The sequence below is a fragment of the Homo sapiens genome, chromosome 17, assembly GCF_000001405.40.
Source record: "Homo sapiens chromosome 17, GRCh38.p14 Primary Assembly".
In the NCBI taxonomy this organism is placed as follows: domain Eukaryota; kingdom Metazoa; phylum Chordata; class Mammalia; order Primates; family Hominidae; genus Homo; species Homo sapiens.
In genome coordinates, this window is record NC_000017.11 from 65,972,982 (window position 1) to 65,999,878 (window position 26,897).

At 37.5% G+C, this 26,897-nt stretch overlaps 1 protein-coding gene across 22 annotated transcripts in view; it reads right to left on the reverse strand.

The window, feature by feature from the left end:
• CEP112 (centrosomal protein 112) overlaps positions 1-26,897 on the reverse strand; it is a 556,597-nt gene that overhangs the window by 337,445 nt on the left and 192,255 nt on the right. The window lies entirely within an intron of this gene.

Sequence of the window (26,897 nt, forward strand, 5' to 3'; positions counted from 1 at the left end):
TCTCGAACTCCTGACCTCAGGTGATCTGCCCGCCTTGGCCTCCGAAAGTCTTGGAATTACAGGCGTAAGCCACTGCTCCCAGCCTGAGAAAAAATTTGAATCCTTACTTCTTCCCAGTATATACAAAATTACTAAAAAGTGATCAAAGTCCTAATGTAAAACCTAAAACTATAAAACTTTCAGAAGAAAACCTTTGTGACCTTGGGTTAGAAAAAGATTTCCTAGATATGACACCAACAGCACAATTTATAAAAGAACAAATACTGTAAACACAGTAGACTTCATCAAAATTAAAAACACCTGCTTTTTGAAAGAAACCATTAAAAGAATGAACAGGCAAGTCACAGACTGGGAGAAAATATGCAAAAACATCTATCTAATAAAAGACTGGTAAGCAGAATATATCATGAAATCTCAAAACTTAATTATAAGAAAACAGTCAACCCAATTTAAAAATGGACTAAAGATTTGAACACTTTCCAAGGTAGATAGGCATATGGCCAATAAGGACATGAAAACCTTTTTAACATCATTAGTCACTAGGAAAATGCAAGTGAAAACCACAATAAGATACTACTACACACTTGTGAGCGTGGTGAAAATTTAAAACACTGATGATATCAAGTTTTGGGAAAGATGTGGAGGGACTGGAAAAACGATACATACTGTCTGCTTCCATTTATCTAAAATTCTGGAAATTGAAATATAAGGACAGGAAATCAGTGGTTGCCTGGATATGGGGAGGTGGAAAGGGGTAGACCAGAAGGATGGCATGAGAGCAGGAGAGAACAAGAGAACGTTTGGGGTGATACATATGTTCACACGTATATCTTTTTTGAATTGGTAGTTTCATGAGTATGTACATAGTTCAAAATATATGAAACTGTATACTTTAAATATGTGAAATTTATTGTATGACAATTCTAACTAAATAAGTGTGTTAAAATGGCCCTTAAATGTAATAAAATGTTTAATCTCACTTACAAGAGTACTGCAAATTAAAACCGTGTCATTATTTCTCACCTACCAGATTTACAAAAATGTTTAAATTGTAACAACATTCTACTTGGGAGTCTAAAAGGCTTCGCTGTTTTCTTACTTCTTTTTTTTTTTAAGACAGGGTCTCACTTTGTCACCCAAGCTGGAGTGCAGTGGTGAGATCACAACTCACTGCAGCCTCAGCCTCCCCAGCTCAAGCAATCCTCCCACTTCAACCCCCCAAGTGGCTGGGACTACAGGCACACACCACCACGCCAGTTAATTTTTTTGCATTTTTTGTAGAGACAGGGTTTTGCCATTTGTCCAAGCTGGTCTCAAAATCCTGAGCTCAAGCAATCTGCCCGCCTTGGCCTCCCAAAGTGCTGGGATTACAGGTGTGAGCGACTGTGCCCAGCCCAAAAGGCATCCTCCTTATTTGCAGCCAAGAGAAACTTAAGTCAGTGTAACCTTTATGGAGGAAAATTTGCCACTACATAACAATACTATATACATGTCATTTTGACCCAGTATTCCCACTCCTAAAAAGTTACCCTGAATCTATATCCCAAACAATACAAAAATTCATATCCATTAGGTTATTCATGACAGCATCACATGCAACTGCAAATATTGGGAACAACCTGTATACCCATATGTAGAACAGTGGTTGCATAAACACACTGGCATACTACACTGATGTAAAAAGAACGAGTGACTTCCAGGTTATAATAAATGAAAAAAGCAATGTGTACAAAAGTATCCATGCCTTTCGTGTAAGGAGGAAGAGAAAACAATGAGATATGCATGTATCTGCTTATTTGTGCAGGAACAAACACAGAAATGATCAACTAGAGACTAGTAAGATCATATATCCACAGAAGTGGCTTGGAATGGCAAAGACAACACAGAAGGAATGAAGGTAGGGTGACACCTCTCTGAATATACCTAATAGTCCAGGTCTGGCGTTTGGAATCATATTAATGTTTTATTTACTAAAAAAAAAAAAATGAAATAAGGACAGGAGAGGGAAATTCTGAAATGAACTACAAACAGAAACAAATAAACATACTTGTATTTCAAATGATTAATAATCACACTGAAGGGGGAATAAATAACCAAATCAACTTTAGAATACAATCTTTGGATCATGTGCTCTTGGGCTGAAGACGAAAAGAACACAAAAGAACTCTTAGACTCTAGTTACAGGTTTCTTTCTTCACAGAGATATGGTCTATCAATTGAAAAACCGTTTCCTGCTATTCTAGGTTTGAGCAAATAAGTAAATATATAATGGAAGTCAGGTTTCTCACAGTCAGAGGGTAATAAAACATATAAGAAGAATAAAATAAACTGTTGAATTTGACTAGAAATGGAATTAGTGTGAGTTCATACTTTCTATATATTTAGAGAGATATAGAAATATAGATGTATAAGTATGGGATATGTGTATGATATAAAAACACACATATGTAAATATATAAACAACATACACAAATATATACACACACAGGGATGTATATGTATGTGTCTATATATTCATTTGTTTCCTAATTCCACCTGCTGAAAGGGGCTAAAAGCAATTTCTTTGGAAAGGACAAAAACATACTTTTAGATAATTTCTCAGTGTCAAATAAGAAATCATACTGAAAATCATGAACTATACTGGAACTGAACCACAAAAAATACACTACATATAAAAATGTGTGTGATACAACTTAGCATTTCTTAAAACAATTTAAAACTTTAAATGCATAAGATAGAATAGGAAAAGCAACTGAAAGCCTTTTTTGGAATATTCTGTTTTACTTAAGGTACACTCAGGAGGAGTCCTAATTTGGGACTAAACATAGCCTTGAAATGACATGGCAAAAGCATAACATGTGGAAAAGAAAGGTGATTATCTCCAGGGAAGGAGAGAGAAAAAACCCATACCTATCGTAATTTTTTCTTTAAACAAAAAGAATCTGAAATGAATATCCCAAGAAGTTACCATTTGTTAAATGCGTACACGTGTGCTGGATGTGTTACGCAATCCTCCCGACTTCCCTAATTTGACCTATAAAGTAAGCTCTTCAGCGCTTTCAACGAGAACTGCTGCCCTTTCTTCACACACACTAATCACCATGGACTCGGACAAGCAAGTGTGAACACAGTGTTCAGCCCCCTGCCTCTCTCCCCAGGGAGGGCCTATTGTCAGAATGTCCCCCTCCCCTGCCTTTACAGGCTCTAGTGGGCGGCTCTAGCTGTGACCTGGTGAGCACATTTAATCTAATGAGAAAGGATTCCCAACCTTCACCTGGCCACACACCCAAACCACAACTTCATCTATAGGATTCTTCTATCTTCCTGAATGTGTTCTAAATTTGAGAGGGGAAGAGCATGTTATTTATTGGCCTTGACTGTCTCCCAAATCAAAAACGTTACCCTTTTTTTTAGGTTCTACACAAATTTACAATAACTAGTTTATAGTTGTTTATAGTAGTTTATAACTACAGAAAAAACCTGAAATGTATTGTTCCTAATAAAGCAGCAATGTCATTAATTTTATTTTCATGAATAATCTTCCTTAAAATTTCTAAGGACCCTATAGAAGTATGCCATCTGCATACTAATTCAGACTTTGTTAGTAAGAATTTGTGATAATTTTGACAGGGGTGAGATATTAAAGTTCACCTGTATTTGTTCTTAAAAAGATCTTTTTAAAAAAATACATATTGTAATAACATTATATAGGCCATATTTAATCTATTTTTTAAAGTAAACTTATAACTTTTTCTTTTTTTTTTTTTTTTTTTGAGACAGAGAGTCTCACTCTGTTGCCCAGGCTGGAGTGCAGTGGTGCAATCTCAGCTCACTGCAACCTCCACCTCCCAGGTTCAAGCGATTTTCGTGCCTCAGCCTCCCAAGTAGCTGGGATTACAGGCATGCACCCCCATGCCCAGCTAATTTTTGTATTTTTAGTAGAAACAGGGTTTCACCATGTTGGCCAGGCTGTCTCAAACTCCCGACCTCAGGTGATCCGCCCGCCTAGGGCTCCCAAAGTGCTGGAATTACAGGAGTGAGCCACCAGGCCCGGCCACTTTTTAAACAAATGTTTAAAATGCCTTTTAACTCATGGTAACCAAATAAAAACAGCTGTATATTATAAAGACATGAGATCTCAGCGAAGGTGTCTCTTGAGATGGAACTGGAATAAACGAGACTCTGCTATGCATGGTTGCGTTTCTTACAGCATCTGTGCTTCTCTTTGTGCATCTGCCCCGCTTTCCTCTTGGCATCAACACAACTACTCGACACTTTAGCTTGCGTATGGCCCGTAGTGGCTGCCTAGTCAACCTTCCTCATAGAAACGTTCCAGGTTTTCAGCTTCTGCATTGAGTCAGTCTCGCAGTTTTCCAGTTCCGAATTCCCAAGCTTCAGGGAAGAAGAGCAATGCAGTATAGCACAGTGGTTAAGAATAGAGGCTTTAAAGTCAAACACACACAATTTCAAATCCTGGCACCTCCACCAGCTGTGTGACTTAAGCTCTTTGTACCTCAGAACAAAATGATGCGGCTGCCTTTGGATCAGGTGTCCACTCTAGACCCAATGAATGTGGCAGAGAAGGGAAGATGGTCCTATGGCAGAGAACATGGTGGGCAGCAGTCAGAGCTGTGGGCAGGGCAGATTCCCCAATGTGGGGTTAAGTGAGGAATAAGTGGCTGAGTACAGTGGCTCATGCCTATAATCCCGACACTTTGGGAAGCCGAGGTGGGAGGATCCCTTGAAGCCAGGAATTTGAGACCAGCCTGGGCAACAACGTGAGACCCTGTCTTTAAAAATAAAAATAAAAAGGCCAGGTGCGGTGGCTCACACCTGTAATCCCAGCACTTTGGGAGGCTGAGGCAGGCGAATCACTTGAAGTCAGGAGTTCAAGACCAGCCTGGACAACACGGTAAAACCCTGTCTCTACTAAAAATACCAAAACTAGCCAGACATGGTGGCAGGCACCTGTAATCCCAGCTACTCAGGGGGCTGAGGCAGGAGAATCACTTGAACACGGGAGGTGGAGTTTGTGGTGAGCAGAGATACTGCCATCACACTCCAGCCTGGGGGACAAGAGTAAGACTTTGTCTCAAAAAAATTTTTTTAAATAAAAAATAAAATAATTAGCCAGGCATGGTGGTGCATACCTGTAGTCTCAGCCACCTGGGAGGCTGAGGCAGGAGGATCACTTGAGCCCAGAGGTTGAGGCTGCAGTGGGCTATGATCATGCCACTACACTCCAGCCTGGGTGACAGAGCAAGATCCTATCTCTAAAAGAAAATAAGTAATGACATATCTAGTATATGTTGCCATCTTTGAATGATTTGGATCCAATCATTTAAAAAGCACAAAAGGAAAATACTTTGGTGACATAAAGGTAAACATTGGCATTCTATCAGGAAAAGAGCAATGAAGTAGGACTCGGTGTGCCCCGGAGCAAGGCCCAGCTCGGTCACGTGCCAACTTTGCAATATTGGTCAAATTGCTTGAACAATCGGTGAAATCTCTATGAACCTCAGTTTCTTCCTTTCAAAATGCAGATAATAACAAACAGCCACATAGGATTCTTTGGAGGATAAATATATTAAAACCATTTTGTTAACTTGAAAACACTCAAGGAAGTATTATTGTCCTTTATTAGCATATTTTACTCCCCATAAGGGTTACATTTATTTCACACTTCATTGCTAATGCAAATTTTGACTGCAGTAAAACTCAAGAAGCTAAATATATAAACTGCTAAAAAATGGGTTTTGCAAACTCAATTCCTAAGGAAAGCATCCAAGAAATGTAAAAATATGTTCCAAATTAAACCTGTTGTGTGAAAATGTGTCAAAAATGTCTCTGTCAGTAGAGGCCTCTTGACCATCATATTCTACTGACACTCATTTAAAGCAGTATGTTTTTGTGAGAAGTGCTGAGTTCTCTAAAGACATATCTACAAAGAAATACTTCACAGAATGAAAATTTCCCTCTCAACTGGAAGCAAGGTAACCACACATTGCTCTCTTCTCTTCGAGCTTTACATTGTGCTTCTTGGAGGGTTAAGCCAGCATGTTCACTGGAGCAAAGGAATGTTTACAATAAACTGGAAACCTTGCCTGCTCTGGATCTAAAATGGTTGCAGATGCTCAAGCAGAGAGGAGAAAAGAGAACAGCTGCTCCCCACCCCCACCATTGATACTTAAGAGAGCTATTTTTAAGAAGAAAATTATATTCAGAGGTTTTAGGCATTTTGTTTATTTTTAATTTTATTTATTTATTTATTTTTTGCTTTTTGAGACAAGGTCTCACTCTGTCACCCTGGGTGGAGTGCAGTGGCAATCAGTTCACTATAACCTCAAACTCCTGCAATCCTCCCACCTCAGCCTCCCAAGAAGCTGGGACTACAGGTCCACACCTCTACGCGGGTCTATTTTTATTAAAAAAATTTTTGGTAAAGATAGAGTCTCACTATGTTGCCCAGGCGTGTCTTGAACTCCTGGCCTCAAGCAATCCTCCCATCTCAGCTTCCCAAAGCTCTGAGATGACAGGTGTGAGGCCACTGTGTCTGGCCTTAGGCTCTTTCTAAATGGTAGGGATAACTTTTCTCAGTATCACACAAATTATTATATCAATACAAAACTGAATACCTTAAATGTGCCTACCAGAAAAGAATGTAAATTCTTGTTATTGCCTTCTAGTAATTTAGCTATTATTTTCAACTTAAAACATAACGATTCCAGTTACAAGAAAAGCAAACTATTATATTCCCAGTAAATTTAGAAAATTATTAAAATGAAACATCTTTAATATATAATAAACATATAGTCACATCATAGCCACAACCTGCAAAATGAATGAGTACCCAATATGGGTAAGATAAACCTTGCATGATGAATTGGAACATCCTCTGGTAAAAAATAGTTTGAAACTATTAATAATAGTTTCAAACGCTATCACCATTCTAAACTACACGATTTCGTCATAATAAAGCAAGCTAAGGAACAATTAACTTACCAAGTAAAGAACTTAAAATGTTTCTAATTATAATCACATAACACCCCATTAAAAAAGAAAAAGCCAAATCAAAGAATCAGACATCAAAAGGCCATTAGGTCTCTCGATACAGACCATTTCCAGACCTAGTTTACTCCACATAAAACTCCATTGGGGCGTTTTCATTTTTCACTAAGAATAGAGATATATGGTTCAAATTACTGTTTCTTCAAAGTCCCTCGACATTTGTGTATTCTACAACTAAAATGAATAAATTTTATATCAAGTAATAAAAAACTTGAGGATTCAGGCTTTAACAGTAACCAGTTTTAAAAGACCATTGTTAAAATTCATGACATCAAACTTCAGGGACTATGATTTAGGAAGGAATAAAGGAAATTCAATGAGGAAATAAACACAAGTTTTTGAAGGATAGAAATGTTTGACATTTATTTATCTATTGTTTATTATAATCTGACAAAATCTTTCTTCCAGAAAATTAGGTCTGTTTGCTGTACCTCTAACCTCATGCTTGGACATTAATATGGCATCAGACTCATGCCCTTGGAACATGTTATTCCTTCTGGTTGGAAAATTCTCTCTCCTCCACCAGTTTATTTTCTGTCCCTTCCTTCAAAACTTAGCTTATTGGCAAGAAATATTCAGGGAAGTAAGCTTTTCTCCAATGTCACTTTGATCATATACTCTGTTACCAATTCTTCAACCATTGACCATTTGGGGGAATTTAAGGTCTCCCTCAAAATGTACCACCAGGCTCTGCGCTTTCTGTTCCAGCTGGCTCATCTTCTCAGCTTTTTTTTCTTTTTTTGAGGGGGACAGAGTCTCACTCTGTCACCCAGGCTAGAGTGCAGTGGCACGATCTCCACTCACTGCAACCTCTGCCTCCCAGGTTCAAGTGATTCTCCTGCTTCAGCCTCCCAAGTAGCTGGGATTACAGGTGCCGGCCACCACACCCAGATAATTTTTATGTTTTTAGTAGTGACGCTTCTATTAAAGAAATGTCTTTAGTAGAACATGGAGAGGGGTTTCTCCATGTTGACCAGGCTGGTCTTGAACTCCTGACCTCAGGTGATCCACCCGTCTCAGCCTCCCAAAGTGCTGGGATTACAGGCGTGAGCCACCACGCCCGGCCATCTTCTTAGGTTTCTTCACATACACCCTTGCACTCTCCATCTCTACATATTAGTTCATGATCTTCTAACTTCCTGGGTAATTTTACTATATGGAAGAATAAATCTATAGGGTATACAAGCCACTGTGTTCAGGATATAACTTGGGAACACCATTAGGAAGAGATCTACTATTAAAATTAGTACCAGATTAACAGTTAACTTATGGAAATTTATTACTTATGAAACTTATTTTCTGAGTCTCTATGAAGAAACCAGCATATTCGATAGCTAATAGCCAACATATCTATGAGAAGTCACCAACATGGAAGATGTTTTTCCTATATTTCAGAGCACTATTTAATTTTGCTTTCTTCCTTTAAAATTTAACACACAGGCTTAAGTCCAAAGTGAACCTAATTGAGGTTGAAGAAGTATTGTTTCGGTATGGCTGATCTTTTCTCAGTCGTGGTTTTTGATTTTTTTGTTTGTTTGTTTTTGAAATGGAGTCTTGTTCTGTCACCCAGGCTGGAAGGCAGTGGCACAGTCTCAGCTCATTGCAGCCTCCACCACCCAGGTTCAAGTGATTCTCCTGCCTCAGCCTCCCAACTAGCTGGGATTACAGGCATGCGCCACCATGCCCAGCTAATTTTTGTATTTTTAGTAGAGACGGGGTTTCGCCATATTGTCCAGGCTGGTCTCGAACTCCTGACCTCAAGTGATCCATCTACCTTGGCCTTCAATCATGTTTTGGTTGTAAAACTTCATTTATCATTGTGATTGGCACTATTTTTTGGATTTGCAAATATATAAAAAAATTTAAAATAAATACATAAATGAGCTGCTACAGGAAAAGATGGCAATACTGACATAGTAAAAATGGCCAGCAAGTATAACAACCTAACGATTTATTGTAACTTTCTGGGTATAAGATAATGGTGTTTTTATTTACTATATATTTTTAAATATTTTTCTTTTTAATTTTTGTAGGTACATAATAGGTATATATATTTATGGAGTATATGGAATATTTTAATACAGGCCTAATATGTGTAATAATCACATCAGAGGAAATGGGGTATCCATCACCTCAAGCATTTATCCTTTGTGTTACAAACAACCCAATTATATGCTATTTTTTATGATAATAACTATACATGGATGGATATGGAAGGTAAAAATTCGTCAGAGTGCTTTTGGTACTGATTAGCAGAGAAAAATGTGCTTTATGATAGCTGGCATAAGACATACAGGCAAAATATCCCCGAAGTAGAGAAGGGCAACTTGCCCAACTTAACTGCTTATCCTAACTAGATAGAAACACCATTTAAGAACACACAATTCTCTTAGTTATAATTCTATGATTATCAGACAACATTTCAACTGATGGTTTGAATTCTTGAACAGACTAGCCCACTAGAAAAACATATTTTTATCAAGTGCCTGGAAACCCTTTAAATAATTTTCAATGGCTTTTCTCCTTTTGTGGGCGATAGCTGCAGTTCCAATTAGGGTAAAAGGGAAATGTGTGTGCCAACTGCCAGAGTATTATTTTGGAGACCAATACTGAAAGCCAAGTATACAAACAGTAAGCTGTCCCAGCAATTCCACTCCTGGGTATATACACAAATAATTGAAAATAGGTACTCAAGCGAGTAATTATACATAAATATTCATAGCAGCACTATTCACAATAGCCAAAAGGTAGCAACAACCCAAATGGCCATCAATAGTTGAGTAGGTAAACTAACTATGGTATATACACACAATGGAATATAATTCAGCCATCAAAAGGAATGAAGTGACAATATTTGCTGCACTGTAGATGAACCTAGAAAACATTACACTAAGTGAAAGTAGCTCCGGACACAAAAGGTCACATATTGTATGATTCCATTTCTATGACATATCCAGGAAAGATAAATCCCTAGAGACAGAAAGCAGAATGGTGGTTAGGAGGATCTGACAGAAGGCGGGGAATGGGAATCCACTGCCTAATAAGTATAGGATTTTATTTGTGATGATGAAAGTGATCTGGAACTAAATAGAGGTAGTCATTGCACAACAACGTGAATGTACTAAATGTCACTGAATTGCTTACTCTAAAATGTCAATTTTATGTTATGTAAATTTTACCTCAATTTAAAAATAAATGACTGTAGCTGTAACTGTGGAGCAGGAGTCCAAATTCAAATGCCTACAGGGGCCAACTAACAAAAATGAGGACAGTGAACCAAAGACCGCACGCCCGCCATGTAATTATATTCCTTTAATGTTGTTTAATTTTTGCCTTTTAGTCTTTTATATAGTTGGGATATGTGTCCCCTCCAAATATCATGTTGAAATGTGACCTTCCAATGTTGGAGGTAGAGCCTAGTGGGAGGTGTTGGCTTATGGGAGTGACTCCCTCATGAATGTCTTGGTGTCAGTCCCTTGGTGATGAGTGGGTTCTCACTCTATTGGTTCATGCCAGAGATAGTTGTTTAAAAGAGTGTGGCAACCCTTCCTCTCCCTCCTGCTCCGTCTCTTGCTCTGTGACATACCTACTCCCCCTCCACCTTCTAACCATGAGTAAAAGCTTCCTGAGGTCCTACAAGAAGCAGATGTTGGCACCAAGCTTCTTGTACAGTCTGTAGAACTATAAACCTCTTTTCTTTATAAATCACCCAGCTTCAGGTATTCCTTTATATCAATGCAAAATGAAATAAAGGAATCAGAGAAAATGGAGACTAACAGTCTTTTCTCCGCTTTTCCTGACCAGTCTAACAGAGACCTGTTTAATTTGTTCACTTATTTTATTAAATTGGTTTTGTTATCTCTCTACATTGTGTTTCTGATTTCACTGATCTCTGCTCTTAGTTTTACTATATTTTTCACACTTACTTTGTTGCTTTTTATCTAGTGTTTTGAGGTTAAGGCTTAGCTTATTTCAGTCTAGATACCAATTTAAGATACTCTACAACATTTGATGAGTAATGCTATCATTATCTTTCAGTTTTAAATATTTGACAATTTTATTGTGATTTTCTTTTTAACCATAACTTATTTAAAAATACAATTTTACATTTCCAAACCTAAATCCAAGGGTTTTTTTTAAACTGGCTGCTTATTATTGATTTCTAATTTGATTGCACAGAGAACATAAAATGTTGTCTCTATGACAGTGATACTTTAAAGGCAGTTGTGACTTCTAATATAACCAATCAGTTCCACTTGTTGCCTTGACAAGGCAGGGGTCAGTGGTGCCAGATCTCACATAGTTCAAAAGAAACTAGAAATCTAAAATTTATGTGAAATCTTCTGATTTTATAATGTTGGCAACTAATTGAAAATTTTCGAAACGTTGCACAGGCCAAACTAAATATATATGCAGATGACTCAACCTGCAGCCCAGGAATTTATAACATCTGCTGGAAAGCCTGAACCTGAACAGAAGACCGACAAAACAGACAAGAAAAAAAGCACAAAAGCAGCAAAGATAAGAGTAAGCTACAGGAGAATATTATGAAAGAAAGGAATGGCTTATATGACACAATCCTGGAACTCTGCCTAACACAAATTTTAAAGTAGAATTTTAAAATTGGAACATACATAAAAATATTAAAATATCATATATTAATAAGTGCCATAAAGAAAATTAAGCAAATAGCCCAAGGCCAAGATACACATTTGTATAGCATTGCTGTAAGGATGGCACAGAATGATAGTTACTGAAGCTATACTTTCGAACTGGATTGTCTCATGAAATAATCTAGAGTAAGACAAGAGTAGGATGAACATGCAAAAAAGACCAAGAGGGATGACGAAAACCAAAAGAATGTGTGCCACAGAAAATGAAGAAGAAAATGTCCTGAGGAAGAAAGACTGAACAAAATCCAGATTGGAGGTCACTGGTATCCCTAGGAGGAGAAGTTTTGGTAACATCAGGGAATAACCCAAACTGCATTGGCTTGAAGGTAGATGATGAGAAATCTGAGGCAATGAGTAAAATAACTCCTTAAAGAAACCTGAATATAAAAGCAAAGAAAGAGAGAGAAGCCGCAGTTGAAGGGGTTGGAGTGAGATTAAGAAAAAAGTTTTAAGATGGATACTTACTCATGTCTAAGTGTTGAAAGGACCAATGTAGTTAAGAGATACCAAGAGGGCCCTGAATTAGACTTCAAAATGGAGGAAGATGCAATAATTGTAAGAGGAAGCAAAGAACTGGTGGAAGGATTGGTACAAAGAAAACACCCTATAAATTAACAAAATACAAGAAGGCAAGAGTTTAAAAGAAGAACATTAATGAAACCAGAAACAATATTTTGGCCTGGAGTCACAAGAATAGAAGTAGTATCACTTTTACATCTAACTAGTGGTGGATGACAGGAGAGGTAGAGGAGGACCACTTGTCAGTCTAAAAGTGATGGCTAAGGTTTTACTATACACTCCATGAACAAATGGTGCCAGGAATAATTTTTTAAGGGATAAAAGCTTCAGAAGAAGTTGTCTATGGTCTACTATATTAATAAAGCATATATTCAATGGTGTGAAAAATCAAAGAACCGTTCATGACAACAGAGAAAATGATGATGTTTCTGGAGTAAAAGAAAAACCATTTGGGAGATCATGAGTCAGTCTTTGATTCACTTATTAATTTTGTAGAAAGCTAACCGTGTTCCACTGCTCAGGAGGTCATACAGCTCTGCATGCCTCACTCCATCCTCTTGAAGATGAGGCATAAGACCACAAAGCAAGCTGAGATCAAGGGCTTTTGTTTTTTTTTTTTTTAAGAAATCAAGTTTCAAAGTAATGGAAAGGTCAGTGTGCATTTAGAGTTTAGGCCTACAAACTAATCTGTGATTGAATCTACAGCAAATCACGATAATTTATTCCAAAAGTGATGATGCTGACTTATCCTAAACTTATCCATTATGCAACTGTAAAGAGAATTGAAGTAATAGATCACATTTCAAAAAGAATCCTATCAAAAAATCTCAGTAAGAATAGCTCTAGGTTTCATAGATAAAATGATATCTGGCTAACATCTCTCCAATAGTCTCCCCCAAGTGCTCACTAAAATACCTAGAAAGAGAAAGGGGGAAAAAAAATAAAACATCGCAAGAACAGTAATAACTCAGATAAACAGAAAACACAGTGAAAGAACCTGGGCAGAATCTCCAACAACTATAAAGTACATGGAAATAGACTAATTAAAAATATATCTATACAGATCTACCTGAAAGCAAATGTAAATTAGCTTCAGGAAACAGAACCTAAGAAAAATTATATAGGAAGACACATTCTACCTCCCTCAAGTCAAAGATTCTGTGTTGAAAAAAATCAAAATATTTACTATGTGTGATTCTTCTATGATAATGCTTTTTCCTTCCATGGTGGTACGTTTTTCTAACATCTACTAGTGTTTCACACACAATCATTCAGAGCCAGCAACTCCCAAAATGCATCGGATTAAAGTAAAGTACAAATGATGTTGGTGTACTATATGTAGGGAGCCATCATCTCCACAGCTAAAGGAATATACTTGGACACAAAAAGAGGGAAAACAATCTGAGTTCAAAACATACTGAGAACTATACGATTCATTATTTCATTCAAAAAATCAAAGACTTATAATATAAGTTATAAAAAGATATATCACTAGTAAAGCAGAGTTTCTACAGGTAAAATAATCCTAGAAACTGGGAACTTCACTGGCAGCTGACCAATGTTTTTATCCACCTGAAAATCTTCAAGAGAATATGACCATTATACAAGTTGACATGGAGAAGACACAAGACAATCCATACCCAAAATACACAGTAGACTAATATCAGAAAGTCCCTAGAAAAGTGTACAAACAGTGAGAGCTCAACAAGTGTTTGTTAAATAAACGAAACACCAAGACTTTACAAAATCTCCCTTATTCATTATTGAGTAATGAGAAAAAAATACCAGTTGGAGACTAAAAGCTATTGTAGAACCAGGGGAAAAGAACAACATCCTATAAACACAGAATAAAAATATACCATCAAAATAATCTAATATCCAGAAGAAAATATCAGAAAAGTATGAGGAATCGTAAAGAAGACCGTCTCTATGAAATACAAGGTAAAATCTTAAGAATTAGCTAAGACAAAAAGAGAACAGAATAATATTTAAAAGGGGATATGATTAAGATGAAAAATAGAAAAGAAGCAAAAATGCAGAGCACAATAAAAATTCATAATGGAAGTGGCAAAGAGCAAAAATGCAAATCAGTGATGTTGTAAACCATCCCATATACTCAGAGGACAAAAACAACACATGAAAATATGAGAAAGAAACTAGAAATATGAAAGAATGATAAAAGAGCTACAAAAGTGAAAATGGAAAATAAATGCTAAAAAAAGGAAAACAATATTAGAAATAAACTAAGCTTAAACTTTTTAAGGGAAAATTTAAAATGTTGATGTCTTACTGTATCCTAGCACAAACAGAAAAAAAGAGAATTACATCTGATTCAGATTTCTGGTTTCAAAATGGCGGCATAGAAGCTGGCTTCACTCTCCCACACAGAAAACCAAAAACAAACAGACAGCACTGAGATTATCACCAGCAATATCACAGAACTCAAATATGAGAATGAGGCAGTTCCCAGGACCACAGGGAAGTAAAAAACAACTCTGAGCAGAGAGTAGGAGAACCACACTTCCATGTATACAATGTCCCTCCCCTCCAATCTGCCCAGGCATACAGAAAATTTCCCCTCGACCCAGAGTTTCCACACTAGAAAAAGATCAAGGTGGACAACCAGCTTCTCCAACATATTGGGTTCCCTGGCAGAGGACCTGTCTCTGCCTTAAGCCACAGGAAACATTGTGAGTTCCTGAAGGGAGAAATATTCCTGAGGATAGCCAGAGACAAAGGGAGAGGTGAGTCTATCATTCTCAGTCCTGGAAACTCTGTTCTGTAACTTGGCCAAAAAAGACACCAAATCAGAGTGACTGTTCAACAGCCCAGGTCCCCTAGGCACAAACTCCTAACCCGCCTTCCCACACTACTAGGATATCCCATTTAGGACTTTCCATATTCAGGACAGGTGGCACTCTGATTGTTTACTAGAACCAAGCAAAACCTGGGCTTAAGGTGCCATCTAGTGACAAAAAGGAGGCAGTGATCTAGCGAGATAAGAAAGAAAGAAATCAACAAATCAATTATAATGAATCACTAAAGCAAACATATCCAATAAAAAACAAAACAAGTCAGGCAAGGAAAACTGAATAAATAACTAATCCTTCAATGCAAAGACACAGATGAACATCCTCAAGAAACAACAGCAAACAACGAACCATGAACTCCTCAAAGAGACAGAGCAAGGAACCAGCAACTGACTAGTATGAAATGATATGTGAACTCTCTGACCAAGAATTCAATATAGCATTTTTAAGAAAACTCAGTGATCTCCAACATAACACAGAAAAGCAATTCATAAATTATCAGAGAAATCTAACAAAGAAATTAAAATAATTGTTAAAAGATCAAACAAATCTTAGAGTTGAAAAATACATTTGCTGAACTGAAAAATTCATTTGAGACTCTCAATAGCAGAATGGTTCAAGCATTGAAAGAACCTGTGAGCTTGACAACTGGCTACTTGAAAACACACATTGAGAGGAGAAAAAAGAAAAAAGAATGAGAAAAAAAGATCTCCTACAAGATACAGAAAATTATCTTAGAAGACAAAATCTAAGAATTATTGGTGTCCAAGAGGGAGTTGAGAAACAGTGAGAGGTAGAAAGCTTATTCACAGAAATAATAAAAGAAAACTTTCCAAAACTTAAGAAAGAGATAAATGTCCAGGTACAAGAAGGTAAGAAAGCACCAAACAGGGCCAGACGTGGTGGCTCACGCCTGTAATCCCAGCACTTTGGGACGCTGAGGCGGGCAGATCACCAGGTCAGGAGATCGAGACCACCCTGGCTGACACATGGTGAAACCCTGTCTCTACTAAAAATACAAAAAAATTAAAAAAAAAGCCAGGTGTGGTGGTGGGCACCTGTAGTCCCAGCTACTTGGGAGGCTGAGGCAGAAGAATGGCATGAACCCAGGAGTCAGAGCTTGCAGTGAACCAAGATTGCACCATTGCACTGCAGCCTGGGAGACAGAGTGAGACTCCATCTCAAAAAAAAAAAAAAAAAGAAAGAAAGAAAAAAGAAAACACCAAACAGATTTGACCCAAATAAGACTATCCCAAGGCCTATAAACATTGGGCACTCAAAGGCCAAGACAAAGAGAGAATCCTAAAAGGAGCAAGAGAAAAGAAGCAAATAATTTAAAGAAGCTCCAATTCATTTGGCAACAGACCTCTCAGGGAAAACCATACAGCCCAGGAGGGAGCAGGATGACAGTTTCAAAGTTCAGAAAGAAAAAAAAAACTGTCATACAAAAATGCTATATACAGCAAAACTATCCTTCAAATATGAAGGGGAAATAAAGTCTTTCCCTGACAAACAAAAGCTGAGAGAATTCACCAACACCAGAACCATCTTACAACAAATGCTAAACAGAGTTTTTCCATTAGAAAGAAAAAAATACTAACGGGCAAAAAGAAAACATTTGAAGGTAAGAAACCCACTGGTAAAATTAAGTATATGAACAAACCCAGAATAGTCTAATACTGTTAACTGTGCTGTGCAATTCACTCATAACTCTAGTATGAAGCCAAAAAGACAAACCTATAAAAAACAATACTACCTACAGGAACCTGTTAAGAGACGGGCAATATAAAGATGTGTAATTGAGACAACATAAAGTCTAAATGTGGAGAGATAAAGTATGTAAGTTTTTTCATTTTTTGTTTTTTCCTATACTTTGAGATCTAAGATAAATTTTCATCTCTTTAAAATAACTTGTTATCGCTATAAAATGCTTTTTGTGAGCCTCATAGTAACCACAATGCAAAAACCTATAATAGATTTACTAAAAATAAAAAGCAATTAATTAAAACATACCACCAAAGAAAATCATGTAACCATAAAGGAAGAAAGGGAAAGAGAAGTTACCAAACAACCAGAACACAAACAACAAAATAATAATATTTAAGTCCTTACTGATCAATAATAACATTGAATGTTAATGAACTCAATTCTCCAATAAAAAGGCATAGAGTGTAGGGCAGAGCAAGATGGCTAAATAGAAGCTTAAGTGATTCTTCCCCTCAACAGAAACACCAAATTTTAACAACTATGTATAAAAAGAACCATCACAGGAACCAAAACTCAGGTGAGCAATCACAGTATCTACTTTTAATTTCATATGGCTGAAAGATACATCAAAGAGGGCAGGAAAAACAGTTTTGAATTGCTGATGCCACTCCTCCCCCATCCACCAGCCAGATAGCATCTGTGCTCTTGGGAGAAGGAGAGCACAGAGATTGTGAGGCTTTGCATTGAACTTAGTGCTGCTCTGTCATGGTGGAAAAGAGAACCAGGCTGTAGTCAGCTGACATCTGCCTGCAGAGAGGGCACCTGGACTGGCCCATGCCCAGAGGTGAACCGCTCATCCCAAAGGTCAGAACTTGAGTTCTAGCAAGCCTTGCCACCACAAGCTGGAGTGCTCTGGGACCTTAAGTGAACTTGAAGGGCAGTCTAGGCCATAAGGACTGCAATTCCTAGGGAAGTCCCAATGCTGAGCTGGGCTCAGAGCCAGTGGACTAGAGGGGCACACAACCTACTGAGACACCAGCCAGAAAGGCTGAAGGGAATGCCTGTATCAGCTCTCCCAAGCCCTGGGCAGTGGCCATCTGGCATGGAGAAATCTGTGTGCTTGGGAGAGGAGGAGAGCAGCGACTGGGGAACTTCACATTGAACTCAGTGCTGCCCTGTCACAGCGGAGATCTGGCAGGATTCATCACCTGCTAACTAAAGAGCCTCTGGTCCCTGAATAACCAACAGCAATACCCAGATAATACACCTTGGGCATCAGGCTCTGAGATGTCCTGGCTTCAGAACTCTGGATAGGTTCATTTTATCACAACCTTCTATTACAATGGTATACAAAATAATTCTCTTTTGGATTACCCTAGAACTTGAGTGGCCACGACAAAGAATAAACTTTTTAAATAATTTAACTATAATATAATTCAGCAATTTCTGGTTACTTTTAATCGAACTTTGATATAATTCATTGAATTCTAGGTAAGTGGAATCCAAGTTGATTTCATACATGTCAAATATTTCCCTCTTGCTCCCCAACTCTATACAGTATCTATGTTGTGAGAGGTAACGTTATACTCATATATGAAAATCTGACATATTTTGGTTGAATGATACGTTATAAATTGCATGTGTTCCTAATTTTAGTAATAGTAGCAATAGAAAAAATATATTCAAAAGTTACAAACTTAATTAATCTTTAAATATATATGCATCAGTTAAAAACAGCACCATATCTTCTTTATTAAGTATCATAAGTTATAGGTTACTTTTATATTCTGGTAGAATAGTATTTAGAACTAATCTTTCAAGAATACTTTTTGAAAGTTCGAATTTGTTTTCTAAACAGAATAAAATTTCTTATGAAGGAGACCCTACAAAGGTGTTTTCACTTACATATTAGGTACAGAAATCTTTGTGTTTACTATTCAAGTTTGCAGGCTTCCTTTTAGGCTATTTCTAGATGTCTCCTTAATTCAATTTTTTTTCCATTTTAAATATTACTATTAATTTCTTGAGATATTTTTCACCAACCTTACAAACAAAATGATCAAGTCACAATTCCTCACTTTGGCAATTTTAAAACTAAATTCAGATTTATACTATTCAGTTATACTTTAAAATCCCATACAAGACCAATTTAACCTAGCTTTCCCTGTCTACCAAAATTCAAAATTCAAGCTCCTAGGTAAACTGGAAGGCTGTCTGCTTTTAATACAACTTCATCCAAATTTTTGCAGTAGGCAATGTTCCATTAAAAAAAAAAACAAACCTAATCAAAATGAAGTTCACTCTTTCTATGAATAATCACAAGATTGTTTAGTATTCCATTTAAGTCTTTTATTAAGATTAGCGTCTAGCAAATAAAAGTACAAAAACAGTCATTATGACTTTGCAGTTTTAGTATCTTTAAGGTATTCCTATTTGAAGATTAATCCCTATTTCCCCTAATATTATAAATGTTGATTTATAACAACAAACAAGCAACAAAAGATAAATGAAGAAGATTTAAAAGTGTCATAGGAAAGCTTTTTCACTCATGTTTAAAAATATAACTTCTTTAAAAATATAACTTTAGGGGTAAATAATGTTTTTCCACTGTAATGGAATATTATAAAAACTATGCATATTAAGCAAGAAAAGATATGTTTCCAAGAAGCTATATGTCAGTTTGTTGGAAAAATAACAAGTAAAAGTGAAGAAAGGCCTCCAATAACTCCAATAACTTCTTCCCTTTGGTCTCAAACTGACTGGGTTCACTCACTTCTATTGGTTCTTTGATAATGCCAATGAATAGTCTAAAATTTCTGCTTACTCCAGGGACTGAATTAGGTACAGAAATCTTTATGTTTACTATTCAAGTTTGCAGGCATCCTTTTAGGCTATTTCTAGATGTCTCCTTAATTCAATTTTTTCTCCATTTTAAATATCACTATTAATTCCTTGAGATATTTTTCACCAACCTTACAAACAAAATGATCAAGTCACAATTCCTCACTTTGGCAATCTTAAAACTAAATTCAGATTTATACTATCCCGTTATACTTTAAAATCCCATACAAGACCAATTTAACCTAGCTCTCCCTGTCTACCAAAATTCAAAATTCAAGCTCCTGGGTAAACTGGAAGGCTTAATTCTTCCCACATATGTGTATTCTTTTTTGTTTTTTATTTTTACTTTTAAGTTCGAGGGTACATGTGCAGGATGTGCAGGTTAGTTACATATGTAAATGTGTGCCATGGTGATTTGCTGCACCCATCAACCCGTCACCTAGGTATTAAGCCCAGCATGCATTAGCTATTTTTCCTAATGCTCTCTCTCCCCCACCTCACCCCCTAACAGGGCCCAGTGTGTGTTGTTCCTCTCCCTATGTCCATGTGATCTCATTGTTCAGTTCCCACTTATAAGTGAGAACATGTGGTGTTTGGTTTTCTGTTCCTGCATTAGTTTGCTGAGGATAATGGCTTCCAGCTCCATCCATGTCCTTGCAAATGACATGATCTCACTGCTTTTTATAGCTGCATAGTATTCCATGGTATATATGTACCACATTTTCTTTATCCAGTCTATCATTGATGAACATTTGGGTTGATTCCATGTCTTTGCTACTGTGAATGGTGCTGCAATGAACATATGTATGCATGTATCTTTGTAATAGAATGATTTATACTCCTTTGGGTATAATATGTGTATTCTTAACAAAACATAAAAGCATGATGAAGATATATACCCAGCAGAAGTGTGTATATTTAGTTACCAAAAGAAACATATAAGAATGTTCATTGCAGCACTATTAATAATATCCCCAAACCAGAAGCAGCCCAAATGAATATTGACAGTAGAATGGATAAATATATGGTGGTATATTCACCTTGAAACACTATTCAACAAATGAGCATGTAAAAACTACAATGATACACAACAATATAAATGAATCTCACAAACCTAAATATTGAGCAAAAGAGGCCAGGCACAAAAAACTGCATTCTGTATGATTTTATTTATGTGCAGTTCAAAAATAGATAAAAAGTGAAAATAGTGGCTGCTCTTGAAGGTGGGGCAGTGACGGTTAGGGGCTTGGGAGGGAGGCTTCTGCAATGCTGTTAATGTTCAGTTTCTTGATCTAGGAGCTGCTTACATGGGTGTGTTCAGTTTGTGTGCTTTTTGGTATGTATGTTATACTTCAGTAGAAAGTTATAAAAACCATGAGACTGCAGGATAAGTCCCCTCAATAAACTTCGGTTCATAGGAAAAAAAAAAAAAACTGCATGGAGTCAGAAAAGGGGTGTTATATGTCAATATCAGATACATATGAGCAGAAGACATCTCCAGTTCATGGCCAATACGGCTTGTGGCTAGGGTGTTTTCTAAAACCCATAATCTGAGATGAAATAAACATCCTAATCTGGGCATGACAGTAAGATTTCAAAGGACAGGATTAGTGCAAGTCTAGAAATGTCACCATGCACTTTTTCCCTTGCATAGTTAGGCTTTCATTGAGTTGACCACATATGTGGTTTACCTCTCAATCTGTGGGACCTCAAAACATCATTTGGCTTCTTTTTGTTGTTGTTATTGAGACAGGGTCTTGCTCTCTTACCCAAGCTGGAGTATGGTGGCGTGGTCATAGCTCACTGCAGTCTCCAACTCCTGAGCTCAAGCAATTCTCCTGCCTCAGCCTCCTTAGTAGCTAGGACTATAGAGGCATGTGCCACCCAGCCAGCTAATATTGTTGTTGTTTTTAGAGATGGGGTCTTGCTACATTGCCTAAGCTGGTTTCAAACTCATGGCCTCAAGCAATCTTCCTGCCTTGGACTTCCAAAGTGCTGGGATTTCAGACATGAGCCATTGCACACAGCCCTCATTTAACTTCTAATAGGAATTTTGTCCACAACGTACAGAAAAATAGTTCTAGGAGAATAGGATGTGGGGGAAAATAGGAAACACACGGAGAGCCAAACATGTAAAAAAGAACACACTCATGGCACTTCCTTGAAAGGAAAAGAACATTCCAGTTTCAACACTCCCTGTCAAGTGATTACAATACTAAGTGATCATTTGGGGCAGTTCATTTGTATCCCTGCCTGCTGTGGGGCCACTTTCGGTTCTCTTTCTCTCTCTGGTGCCATTGGCCTAATCACAAGTGAGAATGCTGCCTCTAAGGGCTCCACCATCAACCCCTGAACTAAACATCTTTCATGTGCCCCTTCGGCACACTCATTACCCTTTTGCACCCAGTTCTGTGCCCCAGGGGTGAGTCCCTTTGATCTCCATCAAACCCGAAGAGCTCCCTTGCCTTTGGGTTTCAAGTTGAATTCAGCAAGGAGCCTGATCATCAGAGTCCCATGTTGTTAGGGATTAAAAGAAAATGGAAAGGCTGAAGAGTTCTTGGAGTGGGGTGGGGTGGGGGGTGGGGAGGCAAGTTTTATTCCCCATTCCTCTCGGAATTCTAACCTGGCTTTGATTGTTTTTGTTCTTCCTTCCTTGGGGACAAGGAAGTGGGTAAATTTATCTTCAAAGATTAAAACTTCACAAAATGTTGGACAAAGGAGAATGATATACAGAAGTGCTCATTTCAAAAAAAGAAAAGGCAAAACTGGATCCTGTTCAAATAGACATCTTTGATATAGGTGGGAAAATAGAAGAGGGTACACCTAGATGTTCTCCAGATAGCGGCTCCCTTGGCTGAGGTTCAAGTATAGTTCAAAATCTACTGCTCCATCTCTGGTCCCTGATATGTCTCCAGTTAGAGCATCAAAAAGTCACCCAGGACAAGTGCTCTTGTTCTAGGGCCCACCCAGCACTTCCCTCAGTGGGCTTATTCAGTCCTCGGAGCATTCTGGGCATTTAGTAGGCAATACAAGAAACAGCAACATCTAAAAACAATTTATCTCTCAAGTTTTATTGAAATTTCTCTTTTACAAAATGTCTGATTTTTACCCTAACGACTGCATCCTCACCCAAATCTCATCTTGAATTGTAGCTCCCATAATTCCCATGTGTTGTAGGAGGGGCCCAGTGGGAGATAACTGAATCATGGGTACAGATTCCCCCATACTGTTCTCGTGCAGTGAATAAGTCTCACGAGATCTGATGGTTTACAAGGGAAAACTCCTTTCACTTGGCTCTCATTCTCTCTTGCCTGCTGCCATGTAAGAAGTGCCTTTCGCTTTCCACCATGATTGTGAGGCCTCCCCAGCCACATGGAACTGTGAGTCCATTAAACCTCTTTTTCTTTATAAATTACCCAGTCTTGGGTATGTCTTTATCAGCAGCATGAAAACGGCCTAATACAATTCCTAAATATTTTTTCATCATGGCGTGTTTTGACTCAAATCCTACACCATGGGGAAAAATATACGTGTGTGTGTGTGTGTGTGTGTGTGTGTGTGTGTGTGTAGTACAATAAGTTAAATTCCAGTGTTTCAAAGTTTTTAAAATCATTATATTTGTATCTTTATAAATCATGAAACAGTATTTAAAAATTCAGTATTTCACTAAAGCCCAAAAACCCCCCCATTATGCAGTATATCCATGTAATAAACCTGCACATGCACCCCCTGAATCTAAAAGAAAATATTTTTAAAATCAATATTTATACTTCAGATTTCCATTTACTCAATCTATGTTATATCTATATGAAACAAAAATATAAAACTATGCAGCTTTTCATCAGCTATCTCTTAGAAATTATTTGTCGAAGTTTATTAACTGTGGAAGAAAAGGTACTCAGATGAGACTGGAGAGTTCCAGAGAAGCTCCTTGTCCTGGCACATCTGATCCGCTGTGGCTGCAGCCAACCTCTCCATCACGGGCTCACCACTGTCCCAGAGTCCACTGTCTCTTACATGGACTATTATGATAGCTTCATCTTCCTTATTTTCCTGCTTCCACTTTCTCATTACTTAAATTTATATTTTCATTCCTGCCAGGATAATCTCCCTAAAGTATAGTTCATTCATGATATTTACTTACCCTGAAATGTTAGGATATTTAGGAATCAAAATAAGTATGCTAAAATCAGATTCAAGTTTACAAAGTAAGATTGATAAATTAAAAGTAGAAGATGAATCTATGTATTTACACATGAATTCACACAAGAAGAAAGCCTGAAGCCTCTTACATGGAGAATACTTTTTCTTTTCATTAAAAAATCCTGGATGGGCACGGTGGCCCACGGCTGTAATCCCAGCACTTTGGGAGGCTGAAATGGGTGGCTTGCCTGAGCTCAGGAGTTCACGACCAGTCTGGGCAACACAGTGAAACCTCGTCTCTACTAAAATACAAAATAAATTAGGCAGGCGTGGTGGTGTGCACCTGTAGTCCCAGCTACTCGGGAGACTGAGGCAGAAGAATTGCTTGAACCCAGGAGGCGAAGGTTGCAGTGAGCCGAGATTACGCCACTGCACTCCAGCCTGGGCAACAGAGTGAGACTCCATCTAAAATAATAATAATAATCCTAATTGTACACTTATTAGAAAGCTCTCTTTCCTATTCTATAATCCATAAGCCTCCTAACAGCATCTCTTAACAGGCTGTGGTAGGGTGTCCTTTCATTCTAGGCGAGAAAAACTCTCACCTGTTTAAAAACAAAGTGTGTCATCCCTGACAACTCTCCATTTATTATATGAAATACACAGAAGGCTGTTCAGTCAAAAACTCAAAATAGAGTTTTAGCTATTTCCAGAAACCTGGTTTACACTCTGCTCCACTCCTTACTGGCTTAAGTGATTTGGGACAAACTGAAAGCATCTCAGGACCTTGAGGAATCCTCAGACACGTTTAATTAAAAATATATGTAAAACATAAATACAATTTTTAAAACCTCATATGCTTCCCAACTAGGGTGAACATACAATATTTAACTACTATTAATGTTTTATTATAATTTTTCCTTCTAAAACTTTATTGGTTTGTCTTTATTATTGTCATAAGCTATAAAACATACATATATATGTATGTTTTTATATAAATATAATGTCTAGATCCCTTTCAATGCATTTATACACACACCCTAAACATCCCCCCCCCCACACACACACACAATCTTTTTTCTAAATTCACTCTTGTATCAAAGTTAAAATATTGGAAAGCAAAGTAACCAGGAAGCAACATATTGAGGCTACCTTAGCTTAGGTCTCTACAATATGCCAAAGCACATCTTAATATAATAACTTTCAGCTTTTATTGAAAGTCAAAATAAGAAATAGTCTGCATTTTCTGCAAAATGACTATTGAAGATCTTGTCAGAAAAAAACAATCATTATTTTATTTTAAAATTTGGTGCCATGAGAGATCTTTTTGGGGTGATAGAAATGTTCTAAAATTGTGCTTGGGGTGGTGGCTCACACCTGTAATCCCAGTATTTTGAGAGGCCTGAGGTGGATGGATCACTTGAGCTCAGGAGTTTGAGACCAGCCTGGGCAAAATGGTGAAACCCTGTCTCTACCAAAAATCCAAAAAAATTAGCTGAGCATGGTGGCACATGCCTGTGGTCCCAGCTCCTCAGGAAACTGGGGTGGGAGGATCGCTTGAGCTTGGGAGGTCAAGGTAGCAGTGAGCCGAGATCAGCCCACTGCTGTCCAGCCTAGGTGACAGAGTAAGGCCTCGTCTCAAAAAAAAAAAAAAAAAAAAAAAGGAAATGTTCTAAAATTGAACTGTGGTGATGGTTACAAAACACAGAACTCTGTGAATTTACTAAAAATCATATATTGTGCACTTAAAACAAGTTATTTTTATGGTGTGAGAATTGTACCTCAATAAAGCTATTTTCTTTAAAAAGAAAAAAAACTGATGTCAGGAAAAGATTACTTCTTCTGGAAAACCTGTTCATATGATTTTATAAGGCAATGAGAAACTAAGTAAACAGAGCTAATACACGTATATAATATAGTCGTTATAATAATAATATTAATAATACATATATAACAGACACTATTCTAAATGCTTTATATTAACTCTTCTAAGCCTCTCAATAATCTTAGAGGGAACATCTTATTATCTTATTAATCATCCTCATGTTATAGATGTAAAGCCTGAATCACATGGAAATTAAGCATCATGCCTAAGGTCACACAGTAATTTAAGCTAGAAGTTGGACGGATGACAACCGGGTCCAGAGTCCATGCTCTTAACCCACACTAAATTCAAACTGTTCCCAAAACCACCTAAAAGAGTTCAAGTCAAAGCAAATTTAGAATTTAAATACAGAAATACTTTTATATCTAGTATAATAATATCTACCATTCTCCACGTTTGTTATATTTTAATTACATGTTAATATGTTTACAAGTCATTTTAAGTCTGTTCTAGAAGTAAAGACAAATATTTTATTCATCATTTCTTATAATACTTTCACTGTATCAGTGTTTTATAAATGCAAGAAATATTTACTTGCTGAAATGAACTCCAATAGAAATTACTAAATTCTTTTTTTTTTTTTTTTTGAGACGGAGTCTCGCTCTTTCACTCCAGCCTGGGCTGGAGTGCAGTGGCACTATTCGGCTCACTGCAAGCTCTGTGTCCTGGGTTCACGCCATTCTCCTGCCTCAGCCTCCTGAGTAGCTGGGACTATAGGCGCCTGCCACAGCACACGGCTAATTTTTTGTATTTTTAGTGGATACGGGGTTTCACCGTGTTAGCCAGGATGGTCTCGATCTCCTGACCTCGTGATTTGCCCACCTCGGCCTCCCAAAGTGCTGGGATTACAAGCGTGAGCCACCACGCCCGGCCAGAAATTACTAAATTATTTTTCCTATATTTACTCATTATTTGAGTGATATAATCCTGAAAGCATTTTTTTTTTTTACTTAACTTTTAAGTCTGGGGTACATGTGTAGATTTGTTATATAGGTGAACTTGTGTCATGGGGTTTGTTGTACAGATTATTTCATCACCCAGGTATTAAGCCTAGTACCCGTTAGTTATTTTTCCCGATCCTCTCCTTCCTTCCATCCTCCATCCTGCCATAGGACCCAGTGTGTGTTGTTCCCTTCTATGTGTCCATGTGTTCTTATCATTTAGCTCCCACTTATGAGTGACAACATGCGGTATTTGGTTTTCTGTTCCCGCATTAGTTTGCTAAGGAGAATGGCCTCCAGCTCTAGTCAT